This window comes from Homo sapiens, chromosome 2 (genome assembly GCF_000001405.40).
Source record: "Homo sapiens chromosome 2, GRCh38.p14 Primary Assembly".
NCBI classification, from domain to species: domain Eukaryota; kingdom Metazoa; phylum Chordata; class Mammalia; order Primates; family Hominidae; genus Homo; species Homo sapiens.
The window spans coordinates 135,804,524-135,829,008 of record NC_000002.12 but is presented as its reverse complement, the minus strand read 5'-3'; the positions used below and the strand labels follow the sequence as shown (position 1 = coordinate 135,829,008).

Below are 24,485 nucleotides of genomic sequence, written 5' to 3'. Positions count from 1 at the left end.
ATGTTGGTCACGTTGGTCTCAAACTCCTGACCTAAAGTGATCCGCCCACCTTGGCCTCCCAAAGTGTTGGGATTACAGGCGTGAGCCACCACACCTGGCCTGTAAATTTCTTCTTTATGTCTATTTTACCACATTTTTAAAAAAACAAACATTTCACACCCAGGTCTACTAAATCAGATCCCAGCTGTCTGGACCTTCCAGTAAGCTCAGTACTCCCTCCTGTACCCAGTACTGCTTTTCTCAAGTCTAATGATGCGGGCTCATTAGAGAAAGTGTGTTAGGAGCCTCCTATCCAACTACCAGGTTTCTCTCTTAGGCTTGGTCACTGCTGTGTGACTTACTTGCTTCATTCCCTGGAGTCCCAACTATTCTCCTGTGACAAGGTCTATCTGATGGTGCCCACGTTTTCTCCTGCACCTTCCGAGTGCTGGCAGTATTCCTATAACCCTGGAGAGCTGCCTTCCTGTGGGCCTTTCCAAGGATGTCTGGCCACTGGTATGCACCCACATTGGACCCCCTGCCTCTTCAGGTTTGGGCACAAAACCACTCCCCGCTGCTTTCAGCCTGTGCCTCCCATGAGGGAGGCAGAGCAGCCCCCTACACTCACCTGTGGTTTTGAATCCCACCATCTCCGTCACCAAGGAGGATGGTTTACCTGAGGAATTATCCCTTTAAAGGCCAAGTTTGGCTAGGCACAGTGGCTCATGCCTGTAATCCCAGCACTTTGGGAGGCCGAGGTGGGTGGATCATGAGATCAAGAGATTAAGACCATCCTGGCCAACATGGCAAAAACCCATCTCTACTAAAAATACAAAAATTAGATGGGTGTGGTGGCACGCACCTGTAGTCTCAGCTACTTGGGAGGTGGAGGCAGGAGAATCACTTGAACCTGGGAGGCGGAGGTTGCAGCGAGCCAAGATTTCGCCACTGCACTCCAGCCTGGTGACAGAGCGAGACTCCATCTCAAAAATAAAAATAAAAATAAAAGGCCAAGCTCAGGAATGTCAAACTGAGCTTCAGCTACATGGACCCTCCATTTTACCTGAGGCAGAGTGCTTGAAATGGACAAATTAGCACCAGTCCTATCCCAATGTCTGTGTGTTTCTAGCTGTCTGTGTAGTAGACACTGCTGCTTTTGTTATCTACAAATAATAAGATGATCTAATTTAGGGGTCCCCAGCCCCCAGGCGGAGCACCAGTACTGGTCCATGGCCTGTTAGGAACCTGGCTGCACAGCAGGAGGTGAGTGGCAGGCGAGCAAGCATTACCACCTGAGTTCCACCTCCTGTCAGATCAGCGACCATATTAGATAGGAGCACAAACCCTATTGTGAACTGCGCATGCGAGGGATCCAGGTTGCGTGCTCCTTATGAGAATCAAATGCCTGATAATCTGAGGTGGAACAATTTCATCCCCAAATCATCCCCATCATCCCCCCTACCTCCCCCAAGTCTGTGGAAAAATTGTCTTCCACGAAACCGGTCCCTGGTGCCAAGAATGTTGGGGACCACTGATCTAATCAAAGGTGACAGATGCAGCCACAAAGACATCTGAGTAACAGCTATTTTAGTGCTTGCTTATCCCAGACACCTGGGAGGCACTTCATTCTCACATCATCTCAACCTCTCAAAACACACCCTAAGGTTTAAACAATTTAACCAAGGTGGTGAGCTCCAGGGTTGGGATTTGAACTAGGGCTTTCTCATTCTAAGACACCACACTGTCTTTTCAAAAGAAAAATAAGTCTCACATCTGTAATCCCAGCACTTTGGGAGGTTGAGGCAGGCGGATCACTTGAGGCCAGGAGTTCAAGACCAGCCTGCCCAACATGGCGAAACCCCGTCTCTACTAAAAATACAAAAATTAACCAAGTATAGTGGCACGAACCTGTAATCCCAGCTCCTTGGGAGGCTGAGGCACAACAATCGCTTGAACCCGGGAGGTGGAGGTTGCAGTGAGCCGAGATGGCGCCACTGCACTCCAGCCCAGGGGACAGAGAGAGACTTGTCTCAAAAAAAAATAAAGAAAAAGAAAAAGAAGTCCAAGGGTTTGGAACATGATAATGAGGGTGGTATTTTTTAAATCACATATGATCAGTTTCAGTTGTTTTTGTGAATGCCTCACCTGAACCTAAACTTGCTTGCTGCCCAGGGCCTGTGCTTGCGGGCTGGCTGACAAGGTTTCTGGGCCTTACGTAACACTCTAGGGTCTTCGAGGTCTGCTTGTGCCTGTGATGACTAAAGCTGCCTTTTGTCCTCCTCATGGAATTAAACCAGAGCTTGTTGCTAGGCTAATGGGTTCAGACAAAGCTGCCATTTTAAAACCATCTCTGTTGTGCGGAGGTGGCGTGCCTCTGACAGGCAGCAGAGGCACTGCATGGCTGGTACTTGAGGATGTGATTTTCAGTCTCTTCCCTTTTTCCATCACAACATTTTTTTTTTAAGATGGAGTCTCGCTCTGTCACCCAGGCTGGAGTGCCCCGTGGCATGATCTCGGCTCACTGCAACCTGCACCTCTGGGGTTCAAGCGATTCTCCTGCCTCAGCCTCCCAAGTAGCTGGGACTACAGGTGCCCGCCACCATGCCTAGCTTTTTTTTTTTTTTTTTGTATTTGTAGCAGATACAGTGTTTCACCATGTTGGCTAGGCTGGTCTCGAACTCCTGGCCTCAAGTGATCCACCACCCCCCTCGACCTCCTAAAGTGCTGAGATTACAGGCATGAGCCACTGCACCTGGCTACCACATTTTCAAGACACTTCTACCAGTGTCTGGGTAAAGCACTGAAACTTCAGTCTGTAGCTGGCCAGCCAAATAGTAAAACTCTCCCTGGACAAACTTAGCAGCCATTTATAAATGTTCTGCAATGGTTATCTATTCCTTTTACTTCCTTGGGTAGGGTTGGCCCCTCAGAGGCAGCCTCAAAGATTCGGAAATGACAGCTGACAACCCCTGAGCTGGAGAGCACACTGTTCCTTCCTGGGATTGTGGTCTCATGCCTGGTAGCATTTCCCATGCACAGTTACCACACCCAGGACAGGGAGAACAGCTGAGCCTGCCCTGAGAACAGGGGCTGAGTTGTGTCCACAGGAGCCTGAATCGTGCTGCCCACCTTCCCAGTGTCCCCTCCCTCCCTGTCCTGGAACCCCACCCTCCCCTTGAAGGGGCCTCTTCCTGTGGGCTGCGAGGGAAGAGGGCGAAAGCAGGGCAGGGAGGAGCAGGCACCTGCCCCCATTCCCACCCTCTCCCCGGAGCACCTGCACAGCCCTCTCTGAGCCTCAGGGGCCCTCAGCGGCCACTCCCCAACGGCACACAGCTGTCTGAGGGCCTGAGAACAGCCTCAAGCCCAGAAATGAAGAGCTGCGGCACACTCCAGGGTTCTCGGTTCTGCAGGAGGCACACGAGGAGGTCCCCCATCCACTTATCAGAAAAAGCTGTGCTCCCAGGGAGTTCTCCGCTTGGCAGAAGACAGGCTGGGGGCCTCCGAGGCTCCTCTAGCTCTCCAGCCCTGGGACATCACCGGCTGCCTCATGGCATATCCGTCTTTCAGGAAGGAGAAAACCCTTGCTTCCCTAAGCACGCCACCCTGGGTCATTTGTCCCCACTGCATTGACCCAGCACAGGGAGGGATGAGGACTGTGTGGAGTCACAGCTCCACTAACTGCGCAGTCATGGGCAACCCGCTCGGCCTCTCGAGCTTCTGACTCCCCATCTGTAAAGAAAGTCACAGGTGGCTATGAGAAAGTAAAGACTATGCCTGGCTCCTTTTAAAGTGGTTACTATTGGTATCTTTTGGTAGCTTTTAGTTGCTCAGAGGAGGAAAAAGTTACTGTGAGTAAAATGACCAAACTCCAAGCCCCGCAAAAAAGGTAATTTAAAGTGAAGTCAAACAGCATGTCAGCCCTGAGACGTTTTCCTTGATACTGAAATGGCTAGAAATAAGAAGAGGAAATTACATTTGCTTCCATTTTAATGATAACAGCTAATATAACTTTTCTTTTTCTTTTTTTTTTTTTTTTTGAGATGGAGCCTGGCTCTTGTTGCCCAGACTGAAGTGCAGCGGTTCACTGCAACCTCTGCCTCTTGAGTTCGAGCGATTCTCCTGTCTCAGCCTCCCAAGTAGCTGATATTACAGGCGTGCACCACCAAGCCCAGCTAATTTTTGTATTTTTGATAAAGACAGGGTTTCACCATGTTGATCAGGCTGGTCTCAAACTCCTGACCTCAGGTGATCCGCCCGCCTCAACTTCCCAAAGTGCTGGGATTATAGGCGTGAGCCACCACACCCGCTGGGCTGCTGTAACTTTTTGTTTTGGAAAATTTCTAACATCCAAAAGTAAAAAGAATGATGAACCCCTACGAAGCCATCTCCAGCTGCAAGAGCTATTATTGGCTCATAGCTAATCTTCTTTCACCTAACCTATAACTTCTATCTCCCAAACTAGATTTTTAATTAAAAAAAATTTTTTTTAGAGACAGGATCTTGCTCTGTCACCCAGGCTGGAGTGCAGTGGTGCAATCATAGCTCACTGCAGCCTTAAACTCCTGGGCTCAAGCGATCCTCCTGGCTCAGCCTCCCAAGTAGCTGGAACTACAGGCATGCACCACCACACCCAGCTAACCAAACTGGATTATTTTGAAGCAAATCCCAGACATCCATAGATGGTGGCCTCTTAACTAAGCTTCTTAAGTAGCACAGGCTCTGGATGTGAGCAGTGGCCTTGTTCCTGATCCTAACACCGTGCCTGGCTCTAAGAGGTGCCCTGTAAGCCTGTGATGAAAGAAGAGGTGAAGGTGGGGGTTGGTGGGGAGGGTAGACTATGTTATTGAAAATTGTAGATCTTTCTCCTTCAGAGTCTAGAGTTGACTCCTTTAATTAACTGAGATACTTAGAGGTCATTTCCAAAGCCAGAGTAAGTGCCACAGCTTCTCATCTTGAAACTCTGTCCCTGTTATCAAGATGCTTTCCAGGAGGCTTCAGTTCACTTGCTGGTCCTTCTCTTTTTCAGACCATTGAGCCAAAAGTGAAAGTTTTCATCTTCAACCTAAAACTCCCAGACTGCCCCTCCACCATGAAGAACCCAGCCAGTCTGCTCTTCAGCCTTTTTGAAGGTGAGTGGGCCATTGCTGAAGAGGTTTTGAGTGACATCTGGTGCACTGGTGTGCTAGGTAGCAGTCTTGAAAGTCCGGGGTTCCAATGGGAGGAGGAGCATGGGAGGAAGACTAGTATAAAAGCCCACCCCAGACTGGGTTAGTGTACTATGCCTTCCTACTGATGGTCCCTTGCAACCATCCCCCATTGACCCAAGAAAGAGGAGAGGTTCGACACAAGGATGCCTCTTATGGACATAAAGATAGTTAGGCCTCAGCTGTGAGTTGTAAGCATGGAAAATCATCTTTGCCTCCTTTTATTACCTCTCCCTCCAAGGTCTCTCATCTCTGCTCCTCTTGGCAGGGCTTTCCTCTGCCCGTCTCTCTCCAGCCAGCCCTCTCCACTTACCCTTGTTCCATGTCCCCATTATCTCAGTTTGCACATGGCCCTGGTGGGTACCTGACCAAGATGCTAAGAACTTTCAAGTGTAGGACTCACAGCTCAAGGGCCATCTTCCTAGTGTCTCTTAGTTCAAATTCTTGAAAGTGAATCTGATTGTTGGCCATGGATCAGGAGGCTGCTTCTGGTCCAATCAAGTCAGGGGAAAGGTGGGGTCTATGATAGCATTGAGGCTGGCAGTCACTGGAGACTCTGCAAGAAGGGAGGAAGGGGCAGAGAGGAATGTGCCTGAGGGCCCTGATATTCACTCTTGTCTGTCTGTCACTCTTGTCCATAGGCCAGAGTATGGGAGAAGTCAGTAGTGTTCTTTCTACCACTGTGTCTTAGTCTGTCTTGTGTTGCTATAATAGAATACTCTAGACTGCGTAATTTATAGAGAAAAAAGGTTTATTTAGCTCATGGTTCTGGGGACTGGGAAGTTCAAGATCAGGCAGCCACATCTGGTCAGCTTCTGGTGAGGGCCTCATGCTGCATCCTAACCTGGCAGAGAAGTGGAAGGGGAAGGAAGTGCCTGCAAACAGATAAAACACCAGAAGCAGCCTCACTTTATAACAACCACTGTATGGTAACTAATCCAGTCCCACTAGAATGGGAACTCACTCACTCCCTGGAGACTGCACTAATCCCTGAAGGCGGATCCCTCATGACCCAAATGCCTCTTAAAAGTCCATAACCTCTCAATAATGTTACACTGGCAATTAAATTTCAACATGAGTTTTTGTAGGGACAAACCACATCCAAACCATAGCACACCTGGACCCCATCCCAGCAATGGGTTGGCTCCACAGGGCCCCTGAAGTTTATCCATAGATACCATTTAATAATGCTTATCTGAACTCACCTTTGATGGCATAACAATTTCTGTTCTTAGATCCCACCTCTCTCTAAGTGGTTAAAATTGTACCTTTTCTGTTTATGCGTATTTTACCACAATTTTAAAAATATTCCACCCCTTTCTGATCTTTGAGTTCTTCTAAATCAATTGTTCCCAAAGTTGTGGTCCCCAGACCAGCAGCATCAACATTAGCATCACCTGGGAGCTCATTAGAAATGCATATTCTTGAGCCCTACTTGAGACCTACTGCATCAGACACTCTTGGGGTGGGACCAGCAACCTGTGTTTTAACAAGCTCTACAGATGATTTTGATTCACCTTGAAGTTTGAGAACCACTTTTAAGTAATAAGTAAGTAGAATTCACTTCTAAGCTTTTAAAGTCGTTAGCCCATGGTATTTTCCAAAGGGGCTTGGAACCACTGCTTGGAGTTTGGGTGTGTCGTATGAGCGAGGAAAACTGTTGATTTCAGACTTGCATGTTCTTAGTTGGCATTTACATAGAGTTAATTCAATTTCTTCTCTTACAGCCATAAATAAAGACCAAGTGCTCACCATTGGGTTTGATATTAATGAGTTTCTGAGTTGTTCATCAAGTTCCAAGAAAAGGTAATGTCAGGTTGCCTATTGAACTATCAATAACTGATATTTGTAGAATACTCTGTTTCTTTTACATGTATAATCTTATAGGACTGTTGTCATCAACTCTTGGGCCACCAAGTTGTTTATTGCCATTCAATTGATGAGAAACAAAGACTCAGAAAGAAAGTAGGGAGTCTCTTACTGAGTGGGACTCACGAGGTTCTGCTTTCTCATCTGTCAGTTCGCCCAACTGTGCGCAACTAGCATGATGGCTCACACCTGTAATCCCAGCACTCTGGTAGGCAAAGGTGGGAAGATTGCTTGAGTCCAGGAGTTCAAGACTGGGCTGGGCAACATGGTGAAACTCTGTCTCTACAAAAAATTACAAAAATACAAAAATTAGCCAGGCATAGTGGTGCATGCCTATGGTCCCAGCTACTTGGGAGACTGAGGTCAGAGGATCGCTTGAGCCCAGGAGGCAGAAGGTGCTGTGAGCCGAGATTGTGCCACTGCACCAGCTAGGATTTGAACTCCTGCCTTCTAGTTTAAGATCTTGCTGGAGACAGTGTGAGCTTGTGGAAGAGTGGCCAGGTTAAAGATAGATCTGACCATCCCACTGAAGTTACATGATGAGTAAGAGAAATGGGTTCTCTGTGCCCATTTCCTCAATATGAAGGGTGAAACATCCTCCCTGGAAGGAGACAGCATAGACAGGAAAGCCAGCTGTTGCTGCAAGCCAGATGCCTAACTTGACAACATTCTAGGGACAGAGGTTTGAATCTATGGTGGGGTTGTAAATAATATCTTACTGAGTGACTCAAGTGCCAAAGTTTGCAAATGATATGCTTTAAAAAATTAGAGCAGATTGCCGGGCACGGTGGCTCACGCCTGTAATCCCAGAACTTTGGGAGGCTGAGGCGGGTGGATCACGAGGTCAGGAGATCGAGACCATCCTGGCTAACACAGTGAAACCCCGTCTCTACTAAAAATACAAAAAAATTAGCCGGGCATGGTGGCGGGCGCCTGTATTCCCAGCTACTCGGGAGGCTGAGGCAGGAGAATGGTGTGAACCCTGGAGGCAGAGCTTGCAGTGAGCTGAGATCGCGCCATTGCACTCCAGCCTGGGTGATGGAGCGAGACTCCATCTCCAAAAAAAAAAAAAATTAGAGCAGGTTTTGAGGTTGTGCCCATAATTACATTGCTTTCATGCACGCATATCCCAATACGCTCTTGAGTGAATGAGAAAAGAATGGCATGGTAGCCAGCACTGGGAATTGCCCAGAACCTCAGCGCTCCTGGAGGGATGTTACATGCATGAAGTTCATGCACCATCCCTTAGGGTGGGACAAAAGCTGGAGACAATAATTGACTTCCAGACCTTCAACTAGAGTTCTCTTTGTCACTCACCTCTGATATTTCCAGTGCAGCCCTGTTCAGGGTCATTCAGTGCCAACACCTCTTTGTACCTTTCCTCTTCCAGTACTTGACTGTCCTGAGCCATATCCTCCTTCTATTGTTCCATCCTCTCAATCCACTTCAAATCAGCAGTTCAGATCAACAGACCCGCAGCAGCAGCTGTACCTCAGGCTTTGTGTGGCAGTGTAGACTTGCAATAGACAGACATGGGTTACCACTGCTTCCTGACCACACTTGGAGTCAGCCAAGAAGGACTGGCTGTGGCTTCACAAAAGAAAACTCAAGAAGCCGTAATAAAATGGGTTCCCTGAAAAGCCAGTGATTACAAGTGACACCAGCTCGGAGATTCTCTCAGCGCTTGGTGGTGCTTTGCCTGAAGGGGAGGGCCAACACAGGCTTACATTAAACGGACAGCCAGGGGCCCCTACTCAGGAGGATGTGGTTGGAGAACCCGCTGAATGCAGGGGCGGTGGGTGGGGAGTGATTCAGAAATGACTAACGTAGTTTTCTCCTTCAGAATTCTAGACCTTATAGGGGAGACAGAGCGGCCCCTGAACAACTCTCACATGAGAATGTGGCAGGAGACACACAGCACTGCACCCTAAAAAAGGGAGAACTTAGGAGCCCTGGGTGTGGAGCCTGAGGTGCCGTCATGTGCTAAATCCCTCTCCATGGCCGGCAAACCCAGGGTTCCCAGCTCCAAGCCTGTACAGCAAGTTCTGTTTCATCCCAGGGCAGTTTATTTGTTTCCTTAAAACTCTTCATGCAATCCAGGAGGACAGTCAGGGCCAGGAGGGCTGGGTAAGAGCGAGGTTCGGAGCAGCGGACGCTGTGTTTATGGGCACCGTGGATACGCAGAGGCTGAGCACCGAGGGGACGCGACACATCCCCAGCTGCGATCCACAGTCGCATATGTTTTGGGATCATCTACGAAGGAAAGGATCATTTCCCTTTCCCCCTAATCTAGCAAATGTCAGGGAGTTGATGCTGAGTGAAACAGAAGGCTCTTAGGTTCGGAAGACGCCTCCTGCTGGGTGACCCGGCCCCAGGCTTCGCTTTTTGAGAGGAAGATCCCTGTGCAGTGTTCCTGTCACTTCTCCCAGTTCTGCGCTGTGGGCCAGCCTGGTATAGGTGCCATCGGCTCTCCACACGATGGCTGTGTGACAGGGAGATGCTCTTGTACTCCACGTCCTTTTCCCCAGGCATGTGCCACACTCCTCAAGGCCGACCTCTGCTGGCTGTAATTTGCAGCATGCATGCTTTCCTGCCTGCATGACATGACTCAATTTAGAAGTTGGCAATCACAATTGAAAAAAAAGAAAGAAAAAAGAGGAAAGGAGAGTGGGAGGGAGGAAAATGGACTAGAATAAAATAGAAAAATCAGACCACATTTTGTATAAATGCAGCATGCACTTTTATGTGATGTTTTATTTCATATGCATATACATATGTACATGCATATACATGCACATAAACATGTATGTGTATGAGGTTAAAAGCACAGAATCTGCTCCACCACCTGCAAGCTGTGTGCAAGGAGAAGTTACTCATAATCACCAGGAATCCAGGCTCCTTTGTTGTTGCTTTGTCACCTTTAACAAGGTTTCTACCTCATGGTTCAGGATGGATGCTTGAGCTCCTGCCATTATGTCAGAAATCCAAGCAGCATGAAGAAAGGAAGCAGTAGCCAGGACTGATATTCAACTGGTCCACATCAGTGTACTTCTGTACCAGCTGATAAATAGCTGCTGGCTCCCTGAAATCAGGAAGTTTTCCATTTCTTTTTCTTTTTTTAGACGGAGTTTCACTCTTGTTGCCCAGGCTGGAGTGCAATGGCGTGATCTCAGCTCACCACAACCTCTGCCTCCCGGGTTCAAGTGATTCTCCTGCTTCAGCCTCCTGAGTAGCTGGGATTACAGGCCCCCACCACCACGCCTGGCTAATTTTGTATTTTTAGTAGAGACGGGGTTTCCCCATGTTGGTCAGTCTGGTCTCGAACTTCTGACCTCGTGATCCACCTGCCTCGGCCTCCCAAAGTGCTGGGATTACAGGCATGAGCCACCACACCCAGCCCCCGTTTCTTTTAGTCTCAGTTTCCTCCTGTGTAGGATGAGGATAAATCATTGTAGTACCCATCTCATAAATTTGTTGGGAAAATTAAATGAGATAATACACATCCATTCTTATTACAGTGGCCAGCGCAGAATCAAGGCTCAATAAATTGGAGTCATTGTTATTATTAGCTATGTTTTACAAATAATGAATTATAAGAAGAATAAAGTATGGTACTAACACTGAAGACAATATTCAAGGGCAATCTAATACAGAGAACAGTAGCATTGTTCCTGTTTTAACCATGAAAGAGCAAGAATCACTCACCTCAGAAGGGGTAATAATAATAATTTTCCCATCTGCCAGTTACTTCCTGCCCATGGCTTTGCAGATATGACTTTTGACTCAGTGTTTCTGGAATCTTTTCTGATTAAACACAGTAGTCATCCGTAGGGGGCATTTGTAACTGCCAGCGTCATTCATTATTATGTCCCTTTTTGTCCCTTCAATCCTGCAGCATGTCTTGTTCTCTGACTGGCAGCCTGGCCCTTCAGCCTGACCAGCAGCAGGACCACGAGACCACGGACTCCTCTCCTGCCTCTGCCTATCAGAGAATCTGGGAAGCATTTGCCAATCAGTCCAGGGCGGAAAGGGATGCCTTCCTGCAGGATACTTTCCCTGAAGGCTTCCTCTGGGGTGCCTCCACAGGAGCCTTTAACGTGGAAGGAGGCTGGGCCGAGGGTGGGAGAGGGGTGAGCATCTGGGATCCACGCAGGCCCCTGAACACCACTGAGGGCCAAGCGACGCTGGAGGTGGCCAGCGACAGTTACCACAAGGTAGCCTCTGACGTCGCCCTGCTTTGCGGCCTCCGGGCTCAGGTGTACAAGTTCTCCATCTCCTGGTCCCGGATCTTCCCCATGGGGCACGGGAGCAGCCCCAGCCTCCCAGGCGTTGCCTACTACAACAAGCTGATTGACAGGCTACAGGATGCGGGCATCGAGCCCATGGCCACGCTGTTCCACTGGGACCTGCCTCAGGCCCTGCAGGATCATGGTGGATGGCAGAATGAGAGCGTGGTGGATGCCTTCCTGGACTATGCGGCCTTCTGCTTCTCCACATTTGGGGACCGTGTGAAGCTGTGGGTGACCTTCCATGAGCCGTGGGTGATGAGCTACGCAGGCTATGGCACCGGCCAGCACCCTCCCGGCATCTCTGACCCAGGAGTGGCCTCTTTTAAGGTACTTCCCAACCCTGCAGCTCCTACTAATTGGAGGAGAAAGGACATTGGCTGGAAGAAAGTCATTTTCTCTGTTTTCTTCCATCAGCAAGCCTTTACTTTTTGTTCTTTCTTTAAAGGAAATCGGGGAGGGAAGGAACCATAAATTGTTAATTAAATTGTTAATCACCTGGCCAGGTGCAGTGGCTCATGCCAGTAATCTCTTCACTGTGGGAGGCCAAGGCAGGCAGATTTCTTGAGTCCAGGAGTTCGAGACCAGACTGGGCAACATGGCGAAATCTTGTCTCTGCAAAAAAAATACAAAAATTAGCTGGGCATAGTGTTGCACGCCTGTGATCCCACCTACCCAGGAGACTGAGGTGGGAGGATCGCTTGAGCCTGGTATGCAGAGGCTGCAGTGAGCCAAGATTTTGCCACTGCACTCCAGCCTGGTCAACAGAGCAAGACCCTGTCTCAAAAAAAAAAAAAAATTGTTAATCACCTTATTTTGTCCAGACCCTCTACTGGTACTTTTAAAATATAATAGTTATTACATACTCAGAATAGCACTGATGGATGAGTGAGGCTCAGACAGGATAAACAATGTGGTCATGATGACATTGCTAGTGAGTAGCCAGGTGGAAGTCAGGATTTGAGTCCGAGTCTTCTTGACTCCAAATCAAGTTCCTCATGTCAGTGACAAGTGACAGAAAGCTCAACCCAAAGTGACTTAAGCAAGGAGAGAATTTACACATTCAGGAGGTTGAAAATTCTTCATTTAGCCTGATCAGGGTGGAATTTGATCAGAGCACAAGCGATGCCACCAGGACCCAGTTCCTCTCCTGTTCCCCTCGTTGGCTTTATTCTTGGGCTACTTTGCAGCCAGATGGCAGCAGCCCTGTTTCTGTTATTTCATGACCAGTAGGGAAAAAAGCTCGGCTCTTTTCTGTCCTTCCCAACAGAAGTGTCCCTGTGTCTCATGGTCTCTCAGTGGGTCGCATACCCACCCTGAACTCATTGCTGGGTCCTGGCCAGGAGGCTGTGACAACTGACTGGTGTGGGCCAAGGACCCATGCTTTACTCCTCAATACGCTCACTGAGAGCTGAGGAGGCAGAGAGGGAAGAGGCAAGGAGGCATTGGCTTTCCAGACGCCAGTCAGGGCATCGTTTCAACAAGAAGGGGATGTATACACTTGGCACAAAATTTTAAATGGCTATAGGTCTTTTCCATTATTTCCCTTTTTCTTCGGAATCTCCCAGAAAACCCACCAGCTTTCTTTGGCAGCGTTCTTCAGGATGGACATGTTAGTCTGCCTTTTCCCTGTCACTGTTTGGGTTCCATTCTTAAAGATGAGTATTTCCGGCCGGGCATGGTGGCTCACGCCTGTAATCCCAGCACTTTGGGAGGCCAAGGCAGGCAGATCACCTGGGAGGTCAGGAGTTCAAGACCAGCCTGGCCAACATGGTGAAATCCTGTCTCTACTAAAATACAAAAATTAGCCAGATATGTTGGTGGGTGCCTGTAATCCCATCTACTTGGGAGGCTGAGGCAAGAGAATCACTTCATCCTGGGAGGCGGAGGTTGTAGTGAGCCGAGATTATGCCACTGCACTCCAGCCTGGGCAGCCTGGGTGACAAAGCGAGACTTTCATCTCAAAAATAATAATAATAATAATAATACTATTTCCTGTGTCCCGTGCTAGGTGTTAAAGAGGGGTCACAGCCATGCCCTGGACATGTTATAACCTTTTGGGGAAGATGACACTAACACACGTAGCAAAATTACAGAACTCTTCAAAAAGACCATTACTAGGGTGAGCTGGAACATCATGAATAAATAACTCAATGAAATGTCAAACATTGTAGCACGTAAGTCAGAGTTTCCATTCAGCTCTTGAGCAGCAAGTGACTGCACATATGGAGCCATTCCACCACCCACCTTCTGAAAATGGAAGGTTTGAAATCTTCTGTTTCACTCCTTGTTGTAAAACTTATCTAAACCTTTTCTTCTTAGGCTTTTCTTCCCCTTTGAACTGTGGCTCTTGAGATATCTTTACAGAGACTTTGATGAGAAAGTCCCCTTCACTCTTCTCCTTCAATTCTTCCCTTTATTTATTAGTTCAATGTTAGAATGCCATTGTCTTAGTGAGCTTGAGCTGCAATAACAAAACACCATAGACTGGTGGTTTAAACAACAGATATTTATTTCCCAGCATTCTGGAGCTGGGGAAGTCCAAGATCAAGGGACCAGCATGTTTGGGTTCTGGTGAGGGCTCTCTTCCTGGCCTGCAGGCAGCCACCTTCTTGCTGTCCTCATATAGGGGTGGTTGGAAGAACTCACTGGTATCTTTTCTTATAAGGACACTAATACCACCACCATGAGAGTCCCACCCTCACGACCTCCTCTAAATCTAATCACCCCTCAAAGGCCCTATCTCCAAATACCATCACATTGGGGATTAGGGCTTCAACATATGAATTTTGATGGGGGAACTAATTCAGTTCATAGCAACTATTAAGGAAAAAATTTAAAGAAAAAAATGTCTTGGGCCAGGCGCGGTGGCTCACACCTGTAATCTCAGCACTTTGGGAGGCCGAGGCGGGCGGATCACGAGATCAGGGGTTCGAGACCAGCCTGGCCAACATAGTGAAACCCTGTCTCTACTAAAAATACAAAAATTAGCCAGGCATGGTGGCGGGCACCTGTAGTCCCAGCTACTCTGGAGGATGAGGCAGGAAAATCGCTTGAACCTAGGAGGTAGAGGTTGTGGTGAGCCGAGATTGCGCCACTGCACTCCAGCCTGGTGACAGAGCGAGACTCCATCTCAAAAAAAAAAAAAAGGTATTTTATTATTTTAGAGTATTTCCTTCCAGTCTTGGCTTCTTTGCATTTATGATGTTGTCACAGGGCACCTCAGATTGTTGCTCACTGTTTACTTGATATCATGTCATTAGCACTTTTCCCTATTATTAAGCAGTTGTGATGACTGTTTTTGATGGTTGTCTAATATTCCACTGAGCTCCCTTCCTGACACTGGCTAATTTAGAAGAAAGACATCCTTGCTTTTGGGAAAGGAGCACAGTTTGCCATTCGAGTTTAGAACTCAACTAAAGACGAATATTTGGGATGTGAGAAGCAGCCAGGCGTTTTAGTGATTATGGCATATTTTGACATGAAATTCTTCAGAGGTAAGTGTCATCCTCTTCAGATGATAAAAAGGAAAAAGGAAAGCAAGCTAAGATTTAGCAAGCTCACTCCTGCTCTCTGAGTTTCTGCTCAATGCTTTATATACACGTATTTAATCATCCCAGATGGATCCATAATTACCCACTTCTTGCCAACAAGTAAGCTGAAGTTGAGAGAATAAATTGTCCAAGTTAACAAGTTAGTAACAGAGTCAAGATTTAAATCTAGGCTTGTTATATTTCAGACACCCTCCTTTTGCCCCTACTTCCCACAAAAAGCTGTTGCTGTTTGTAAGAGCATGAGTTAAGTCTACAAAGAAACTCCTAGTTTGGTTTTTCTTCCGAGATTCCATTAAATAGAAAGAAGAACAAATAAGCAAGAAAGAGCCCTCCTCTCCCTTGTGTGCTAATTAAAATAATCCTCCCCATGGACTAATTTCTCAAAAAGCACTTATTAAGGACAGAGGCAGAATAGCAGTGTGGGTAACAGTAACAGGCTTGGAATCAGACTGCCAGGGGCTTGTTCTCACTTTACTCCTGACTCTTGGCCTTGTGAAGTTACTACACAGCTCTGGATCTTGTTTTCACCATCTCTATAGTGGTGATAATAATTGTACCTGCCATATGAGGTTGTGGTGAGGATTACATGAGAGAATTCATTAAGTAGTAGGTGCCCAATATATGTTAGTTGTTATTGTTAATGTGGTTGTTGATGCTGTTATTTTGTTGACAATTTTGAAGAATTGCTGTTGACTTGTTGACTTTGTTGATGATATTGGTGTTGACTTGTTGACATTGTTGACTTGATATTGTTGACCTTTTCACATTGGTGTTCACTTGTTGATGCCGTTCATGTTGGTATTGATGTTGTTGACATCAACATCGTTGATATTATTGACTTGTTGACATTGGTTTGGATTTCTTGACATTGTTGACTTGTTGACATTGTTAGTATCAGTCTTAACTTGTTGTTTATGTTGTTAACTTGTTAACTTTATTATTGACTTGTTAACATCATTGATGTTAGTGTCAACATTGTTATTTGTTGATGACTTGATGTTAACATTAGTGCTGATGTTGTCAATATTGACAATGTCAATGTTGTTGTTGTCTTTATTGACTTGTTGACATTGTTGTTGACTTGTTATTGGTTCATTAGTCCTGTTGTTGTCATTGTTATTATTACTAATCACTGTATTTCCTTCTTACTTTTTCACAAGGTGGCTCACTTGGTCCTCAAGGCTCATGCCAGAACTTGGCACCACTACAACAGCCATCATCGCCCACAGCAGCAGGGGCACGTGGGCATTGTGCTGAACTCAGACTGGGCAGAACCCCTGTCTCCAGAGAGGCCTGAGGACCTGAGAGCCTCTGAGCGCTTCTTGCACTTCATGCTGGGCTGGTTTGCACACCCCGTCTTTGTGGATGGAGACTACCCAGCCACCCTGAGGACCCAGATCCAACAGATGAACAGACAGTGCTCCCATCCTGTGGCTCAACTCCCCGAGTTCACAGAGGCAGAGAAGCAGCTCCTGAAAGGCTCTGCTGATTTTCTGGGTCTGTCGCATTACACCTCCCGCCTCATCAGCAACGCCCCACAAAACACCTGCATCCCTAGCTATGATACCATTGGAGGCTTCTCCCAACACGTGAACCATGTGTGGCCCCAGACCTCATCCTCTTGGATTCGTGTGGTGCCCTGGGGGATAAGGAGGCTGTTGCAGTTTGTATCCCTGGAATACACAAGAGGAAAAGTTCCAATATACCTTGCCGGGAATGGCATGCCCATAGGGGAAAGTGAAAATCTCTTTGATGATTCCTTAAGAGTAGACTACTTCAATCAATATATCAATGAGGTGCTCAAGGGTAAGAACAATGGATGTGCCAGTGATTGGAAGGTGGGTGGTACTTCTCCAAGTCTTCAAAGTTTCGTTTAATAAGACAAAGAAAGTCTCCTAGAGAAATGGAGCCAAAGAAAGCATAATAGTGGGGAGTCCTTCACGTCAGCTCCCTAACTCTCTTTCCCAAGGTTCATTCATGTCATTCACGTCTTTGCTCCTGTGGTTTTTTTGTTTTATTTTGTTTTGTTTTTGAGACAGGGTCTTGCTGTGTTGCCCGCTGGAGAGCTGGAGTGCGGTGGCATAAACATCGCTCACTGCAGCCTCAAAGTCCTAAGCTCAAGCCAACCTCCCACCTCAGCCTCTTGAGTAGCTGGGACCACAGTGCAAACCACTATGCGTGGCTTATTTTTTTTTTTTTTAGACATGGGGTCTCTTCACATTGCCCAGGCTGGTCTCAAACTCCTGGGCTCAAACAGTCTTCTCACTTCAATCCTCCCAAAGTGTTGGGACTACAGGCATGAGCCACCATGCCTGACCCAGTGTCCTTATTGCCTAGAATACCTCCCTCTACATTCTGCCCATCTGAGTCCTATGCAGTCATCAAGCCTCATTATCTTTTTTTTTTTTTTTTTTTAGAATCAGGGTCTTGCTTTGTCACATAGACTGGAATAGAGTGGCATGTTCATAGCTCACTTCAGCCTCAAACTCCTAGGCTCTAGTGATCCTCCGGACTCCAACCCATTAACTCTTCCCTCATTGCTCCAGCCACACTGGTCTTCATTTCCTTTAATTGGCTATAAAATCTACATTCTATGTCATTGATTTTGATCCAATTGATCCACATCTACGGTCTCATTCTTACCTGACATACTATTTCATATGTCTTTTTATTCCAATTGGAAAGGTATGGCAAATAGATTTCATCTCACAGGTCAGTCCTCAGTTAACCCAGGATGTTCTTATCTTGAGCTCATTAACTTAATTACATCTGCAAAGATCCTTTTTCCAAATAAGGTTATATTCACTGGCACCACGGGTTAGAATTTAGACATATCTTTCGGGGGTCACCATTCAATGCACTGTATCAGGGAATATATGTTTTAGGCTTTATTTATTTATTTATTTTAATTTTAATTTTTTTAGACAGGGTCTTGCTCTGAGGAGTACACTGACCTGATCTGAGCTCACTGCAGCCTTGACCTCCTGGGCTCAAGCGATTCTCCCACCTCAGCCTCCCAAGTGGCTGGGACTACAGGTGCACACCACCACACCAGGCTAATTTTCTTTTCTTTTTTCTTTTTTTTTTTTTGAGACGGAGTCTGGCTCTGTCGCCGAGGCTGGAGTGCAGTGGCGCGATCTCAGCTCACTGCAAGCTCCGCCTCCTGGGTTCACACCATTCTCCTGCCTCAGCCTCCTGAGTAGCTGGGACTACAGGCTCCCGTCACCACGCCCGGCTAATTTTTTTGTATTTTTAGTAGAGACAGGTTTTCACCATGTTAGCCAGGATGATCTCAATCTCCTGACCTCATGATCCGCCTGCCTCAGCCTCCCAAAGTACTGGGATTACAGGCGTGAGCCACCACGCCTGGCCACATTTTTTTTTTTTTCAATAGAGACAGAGTCTGGCCATGTTGCCCAGGCTGCTTTATTTCTTTTTTAAAATATGAAATATGTTGTCACTTAATGTCAATATTACTAAACATAAACAAGGAAAAGCAAAAGCATATTGTTAAAAGATTGATTTATGTATTTTATATAAAACCAAGACACCCTGGTGGTAACACATGGGACACATCCCCTCCACTATTTATTTGAAGATGGGGATGCTCCTTTGGTTTGAGATTTATGGCCACAAAAGTGGCCTGATGTTTTGTGAGGATCTTGTGGATTTTCCTTTTATCCATTCTGAGGAGGAAAAAGGATGAACATTTGGGGGGTAACCCAAGTCACCCCCAAAACTTTCATGTCAAAAGGAACACTTTTTAAAAGCAACATTAGTAACAGAGACTATACTTCTAATTTTTCAATAAAAACTATTTTATTGAAAAACAGTCCTCGCTGGTCCGAGGTAATAACTTATCTCAGTTGACTGTTCACAACCAGTTACAGATCAAACAGCTTCTAATACCCTTCTCCCCCTTCTCACTACTGCACTGACTAGTCTTTAAAAGATAAATAAATAAAATAATGGTGCACTAGCTCACTCCTGTAGTCAGTCCCAGCTACTTGGGAGGATCACTTGAGTCCAGGAGTTTGAGACCAGCCTGGGCAATACAGTGAGACCCCATCTCAATTAAATAAATCCATAAATAAATAAATCTAATTTTTATTTTTCTTCACAGCTATCAAGGAAGACTCTGTGGATGTTCGTTCCTACATTGCTCGTTCCCTCATTGATGGCTTCGAAGGCCCTTCTGGTTACAGCCAGCGGTTTGGCCTGCACCACGTCAACTTCAGCGACAGCAGCAAGTCAAGGACTCCCAGGAAATCTGCCTACTTTTTCACTAGCATCATAGAAAAGAACGGTTTCCTCACCAAGGGGGCAAAAAGACTGCTACCACCTAATACAGTAAACCTCCCCTCCAAAGTCAGAGCCTTCACTTTTCCATCTGAGGTGCCCTCCAAGGCTAAAGTCGTTTGGGAAAAGTTCTCCAGCCAACCCAAGTTCGAAAGAGATTTGTTCTACCACGGGACGTTTCGGGATGACTTTCTGTGGGGCGTGTCCTCTTCCGCTTATCAGATTGAAGGCGCGTGGGATGCCGATGGCAAAGGCCCCAGCATCTGGGATAACTTTACCCACACACCAGGGAGCAATGTGAAAGACAATGCCACTGGAGACATCGCCTGTGACAGCTATCACCAGCTGGATGCCGATCTGAATATGCTCCGAGCTTTGAAGGTGAAGGCCTACCGCTTCTCTATCTCCTGGTCTCGGATTTTCCCAACTGGGAGAAACAGCTCTATCAACAGTCATGGGGTTGATTATTACAACAGGCTGATCAATGGCTTGGTGGCAAGCAACATCTTTCCCATGGTGACATTGTTCCATTGGGACCTGCCCCAGGCCCTCCAGGATATCGGAGGCTGGGAGAATCCTGCCTTGATTGACTTGTTTGACAGCTACGCAGACTTTTGTTTCCAGACCTTTGGTGATAGAGTCAAGTTTTGGATGACTTTTAATGAGCCCATGTACCTGGCATGGCTAGGTTATGGCTCAGGGGAATTTCCCCCAGGGGTGAAGGACCCAGGCTGGGCACCATATAGGATAGCCCACGCCGTCATCAAAGCCCATGCCAGAGTCTATCACACGTACGATGAGAAATACAGGCAGGAGCAGAAGGGGGTCATCTCGCTGAGCCTCAGTACACACTGGGCAGAGCCCAAGTCACCAGGGGTCCCCAGAGATGTGGAAGCCGCTGACCGAATGCTGCAGTTCTCCCTGGGCTGGTTTGCTCACCCCATTTTTAGAAACGGAGACTATCCTGACACCATGAAGTGGAAAGTGGGGAACAGGAGTGAACTGCAGCACTTAGCCACCTCCCGCCTGCCAAGCTTCACTGAGGAAGAGAAGAGGTTCATCAGGGCGACGGCCGACGTCTTCTGCCTCAACACGTACTACTCCAGAATCGTGCAGCACAAAACACCCAGGCTAAACCCACCCTCCTACGAAGACGACCAGGAGATGGCTGAGGAGGAGGACCCTTCGTGGCCTTCCACGGCAATGAACAGAGCTGCGCCCTGGGGGACGCGAAGGCTGCTGAACTGGATCAAGGAAGAGTATGGTGACATCCCCATTTACATCACCGAAAACGGAGTGGGGCTGACCAATCCGAACACGGAGGATACTGATAGGATATTTTACCACAAAACCTACATCAATGAGGCTTTGAAAGGTGTGTGAGGGTTCAGTTCCCCTTAAAGAAATCTTCCAACATTCCCTGGGTCATATGCCTGAAATGTTTTGCCGGGATGATTTATGAACCATCAATAGATCTCTCTCTTAGGTCCCAACTCCATAATTCTTTATCTGTTTGGGGGTTATATGTTCCTTGAGAAGCTGGGGGAAAAAAGGCTATGGTTGTCTCTGCAGAGGAAAAATACAAACACTACACACACAGGGTCCCTAGCAGAATATTCATATTGTCATGGGTCCATTCATTCATTACTGAGCAAGTTCTATTTTAGGTGCTGGGAATACAGCAATGAACAAAACACAAATTTCTGCCTTCGTAGAGCTTATCCCATGCACCCCAGAACAAGAAAGTTGTGTTAATTCAAACTTCCTTTTTTTTTTTTGAGATGGAGTCTTGCTCTGTTACCCAGGCTGGAGTGCAGTGGCCACCGTGCCCGGCTAATTTTTTTGTATTTTTGGTAGAGATGGGGTTTCACCATGTTGGCCAGGCTGGTTTCAAACTCCTGACCTCAAGTGATCCACCTGCCTTTGCCTCCCAAAGTGTTAGGATTACAGGCATGAGCCACTGTGCCCAGCCTAAAAATCAACTTTTTGTTTCATTGATTTTTTTTTTTTTGAGACAGTCTCACTCTGTTGCCCAGGCTGGAGTGCAATGGTGTGATCTCGGCTCACTGCAACCTCCATCTCCCGAGTTCAAGCAATTCTATTGCCTCAGCCTCCCCAGTAGCTAGGACTACAGATGCATTGGGCTTAACTTCCTAAGTGGGCTGAAGATCTTGAATTTGGGGCATGTTTCTTTACCCCAAGAGAAGAATTTGATTTGGAGATGATCAGTCATTAATGCTTGCTGTGGGGTCATAGGTACTGGCAGAAAAGTAAGATCAACAGATGATCTGTTGGTCTCTCAGGGTGTATGTCACTTTTAGGACCACAACCTTGAATTGAGGAGCTGGCAGTGGGTTGGGTGCATGGAGGTCCTGACTCCTGGTGTCAAGCTCTCCTCTGCTCCCTTTGGGATGTTCCCAGCCTACAGGCTCGATGGTATAGACCTTCGAGGGTATGTCGCCTGGTCTCTGATGGACAACTTTGAGTGGCTAAATGGCTACACGGTCAAGTTTGGACTGTACCATGTTGATTTCAACAACACGAACAGGCCTCGCACAGCAAGAGCCTCCGCCAGGTACTACACAGAGGTCATTACCAACAACGGCATGCCACTGGCCAGGGAGGATGAGTTTCTGTACGGACGGTTTCCTGAGGGCTTCATCTGGAGTGCAGCTTCTGCTGCATATCAGGTGAGGAGTTCAGGATGGTGGGACACCAGTGACTGCACACCTGCCCTGTGCCAGGCTCTGGGCTCAGTGCTGGGAAGGGCAGATGCATGAACAGGAGATTCCAGCAGACCCATGGAGGGGCAGCATGGGGTCTGGGAGGTCCTCTTCCAGACAGCCTGGCTTCTTCACACCCCCAAATTTACCCAGACCAGCATGGTGAGGCTCGCTGTCCTGAGATGGGTGCTTGCAGGGCCAGATGGAGCAGGGGGAGCCTGGGCAGAAGTACTTGGGCAAAGACACACAAATACAGTCACGCATTGCTCACAACAGGGATTTACTCTGAGAGATGTGATGTTAGGTGAGTTCATAGTTGTGTGAACATCACACAGAGTGCACTTACACACACCTAGATAGTGTAGCTTACTACACACCTAGGCTACATGGTATAGCCTAGTGCTCCTAGGCTACAAACCTGTACAGCCTGTTACTGTACTGAATGCTGTAGGCAGTTGTAACACAGTGGTATTTGTGTATCTAAATGTATCTAAATGTAGAAAGGCACAGTGAAAATATGGCATAAAAGCTGGACAGGGTACTCACCATGAATGGAGCCTGCTGGACTGGGAGTTGCTTTGGGTGAGTCAGTGGGTGAGGGGTGAGTGAATGGGAAGGCCTAGGCATTACTGTACACTACTGTGGACTTTATGAACACTGCACACTTAAGCTACACTAAGTTTATTTTTTAAATGTTTTTCTTTCTTCAATAACACATTAACCTTAGCTTACTGTAACATTTTTACTTTATTAACTTTTTAATTCTTTAAACTTTTTTACTCTTTTGTGATAATGCTTAGCTTAAAACAAGCACATTGGTCCAGGTGTGGTGGCTCATGCCTGCAATCCCAGTGCTATGGGAGGATCGCTCGAGACGAGGAGTTCAAAACCAGCCTGGGCAAGACATGGCAAAACCCTATCTCTATAAAAAAATCAAAAAAATTAGCCAAGTGTGGTGGTGTGCTCCTGTAGTCCCAGCTACTCGGGAGGCTGAGGCAGGAGGATCACTCAGCCTCCCCATTAGCTGGGATTACATGCATATGCCACCACACCCAATGAATTTTTTATTTTTAATTTTTTTGTAGAGATGGGGGTCTTGCTATGTTGCTAGGGCTAGTCTGAACTCCTGGCCTCAAGTGATCCTCCTCCCTCAGCCTCCCAAAGTGCTGGAATTACAGGTCTGAGCCACAGCACCCGGCCTGCATGTGCTATACTTTTATACTGCTGGCCATACGGTAGATTTATTGACATGAGCACTGCCACAAGCATGAATAATGCAGTGCTCTACAACGTTATGATGGCTGCAAAGCACTAGGCAATAGGAATGTTTCAGCTCCATTATAATCTTATGGGACCACCATCATATATCAGGTCCGTCATTGACCAAAACACTGTTCTACAGCCCATGACTATGACCAGTCCCTGTTGGACCCCTTTATTCCCCAGCTAGATCCTTCCAAGCAGGCAGTTTGCTCACATTGGCTCTCAGCATGGGCCTGAGCTTATTCTGATGTCCTAAAAACATCACACCACTACTGTATTCATGCCAAAATGAGGCTTACTCATACAGAAAATAGGATGGTTTTATTTTGTGCAAGAAAAATGGAAAAGGCAAGAGTGACTTGCCTGGCAGTTAGTGGTGGTTCCTGCTTTCCATCTTCTGTCTGCGTCTGTCTCTGTGCAAGAGTGGGCCTGCCACATGCGTAGAGAAAGCCAGGGGAGTTCCGAGACTGAGCAGGGGCCAGAGCAGGCTCCCAGAGGAGGTAACCACACTTGGCTAATTTTTTTGATTTTTTTTATAGAGATGGGGTTTTGCCATGTTGCCCAGGCTGGTTTTGAACTCCTGGGCTCAAGCGATCCTCCCATAGCGCTGGGGTTGCCGGCGTGAGCCACCACACATGGACCAATGTGCTTGTTTTAAGCTAAGCGTTATCACAAAAGAGTAAACGTCCTGACTTGAGACTCACCCAGTGAAAGAAAGGAGGCTGTGAGTGCTTGACTGAATGACTTAATAAGACCATGTCTTGTCATCTTGAGATTGAAGGTGCGTGGAGAGCAGATGGCAAAGGACTCAGCATTTGGGACACGTTTTCTCACACACCACTGAGGGTTGAGAACGATGCCATTGGAGACGTGGCCTGTGACAGTTATCACAAGATTGCTGAGGATCTGGTCACCCTGCAGAACCTGGGCGTGTCCCACTACCGTTTTTCCATCTCCTGGTCTCGCATCCTCCCTGATGGAACCACCAGGTACATCAATGAAGCGGGCCTGAACTACTACGTGAGGCTCATCGATACACTGCTGGCCGCCAGCATCCAGCCCCAGGTATGGTGGGTCCTGGCAAGGCCTTGGGAAAGTCCACATGCAGGAACCAGCAGGGCTGGGGGAGCACATTTATCATGTAAACAAAATGCTGGTTTCAAATTTAGCTTTTGTTGTTATTGTTGTTTTTGAGACGTAGTCTCGCTCTGTCACCCAGGCTGGAGTGCAGTGGCGGATCTCGTTTCTCAGCCTCCAGAGTAGCTGGGCTTATAGGCACGCATCACCATGCCCAGCTAATTTTTGTAT

General features: G+C 47.2%; 1 protein-coding gene and 1 long non-coding RNA gene across 3 annotated transcripts in view, besides 1 other annotated feature; one reads left to right on the top strand and one right to left on the bottom strand.

Moving 5' to 3' along the window:
- The window catches only part of LCT (lactase), a 49,335-nt gene that overhangs the window by 8,176 nt on the left and 16,674 nt on the right, over positions 1-24,485 (top strand). For both annotated transcript variants that reach the window (NM_002299.4, XM_017004088.3), the window contains exons 4-10: positions 5,006-5,108; positions 6,911-6,989; positions 10,948-11,668; positions 16,053-16,698; positions 19,016-20,566; positions 21,613-21,881; positions 23,952-24,242. In NM_002299.4, the coding sequence (NP_002290.2) occupies positions 5,006-5,108; positions 6,911-6,989; positions 10,948-11,668; positions 16,053-16,698; positions 19,016-20,566; positions 21,613-21,881; positions 23,952-24,242 (3,660 nt within the window). The remainder of the gene's footprint in view (positions 1-5,005; positions 5,109-6,910; positions 6,990-10,947; positions 11,669-16,052; positions 16,699-19,015; positions 20,567-21,612; positions 21,882-23,951; positions 24,243-24,485) is intronic.
- LCT-AS1 (LCT antisense RNA 1) lies at positions 5,922-8,818 on the bottom strand. Its single transcript, NR_045486.1, has 2 exons — positions 8,370-8,818; positions 5,922-7,334 (listed from the first exon to the last, which is right to left on the bottom strand). It is a non-coding gene; the product is annotated as an LCT antisense RNA 1 (long non-coding RNA).
- Positions 10,420-11,619: an enhancer, noted in NCBI's record as "BRD4-independent group 4 enhancer chr2:136574960-136576159 (GRCh37/hg19 assembly coordinates)". NCBI's record gives its function as "activates an origin of replication core promoter dependent on BRD2, P300/CBP, MED14 and CDK7 cofactors, and independent of BRD4, by STARR-seq in HCT116 cells {active_cell/tissue: HCT116}" and the evidence as "EXISTENCE:reporter gene assay evidence [ECO:0000049][PMID:35650434]".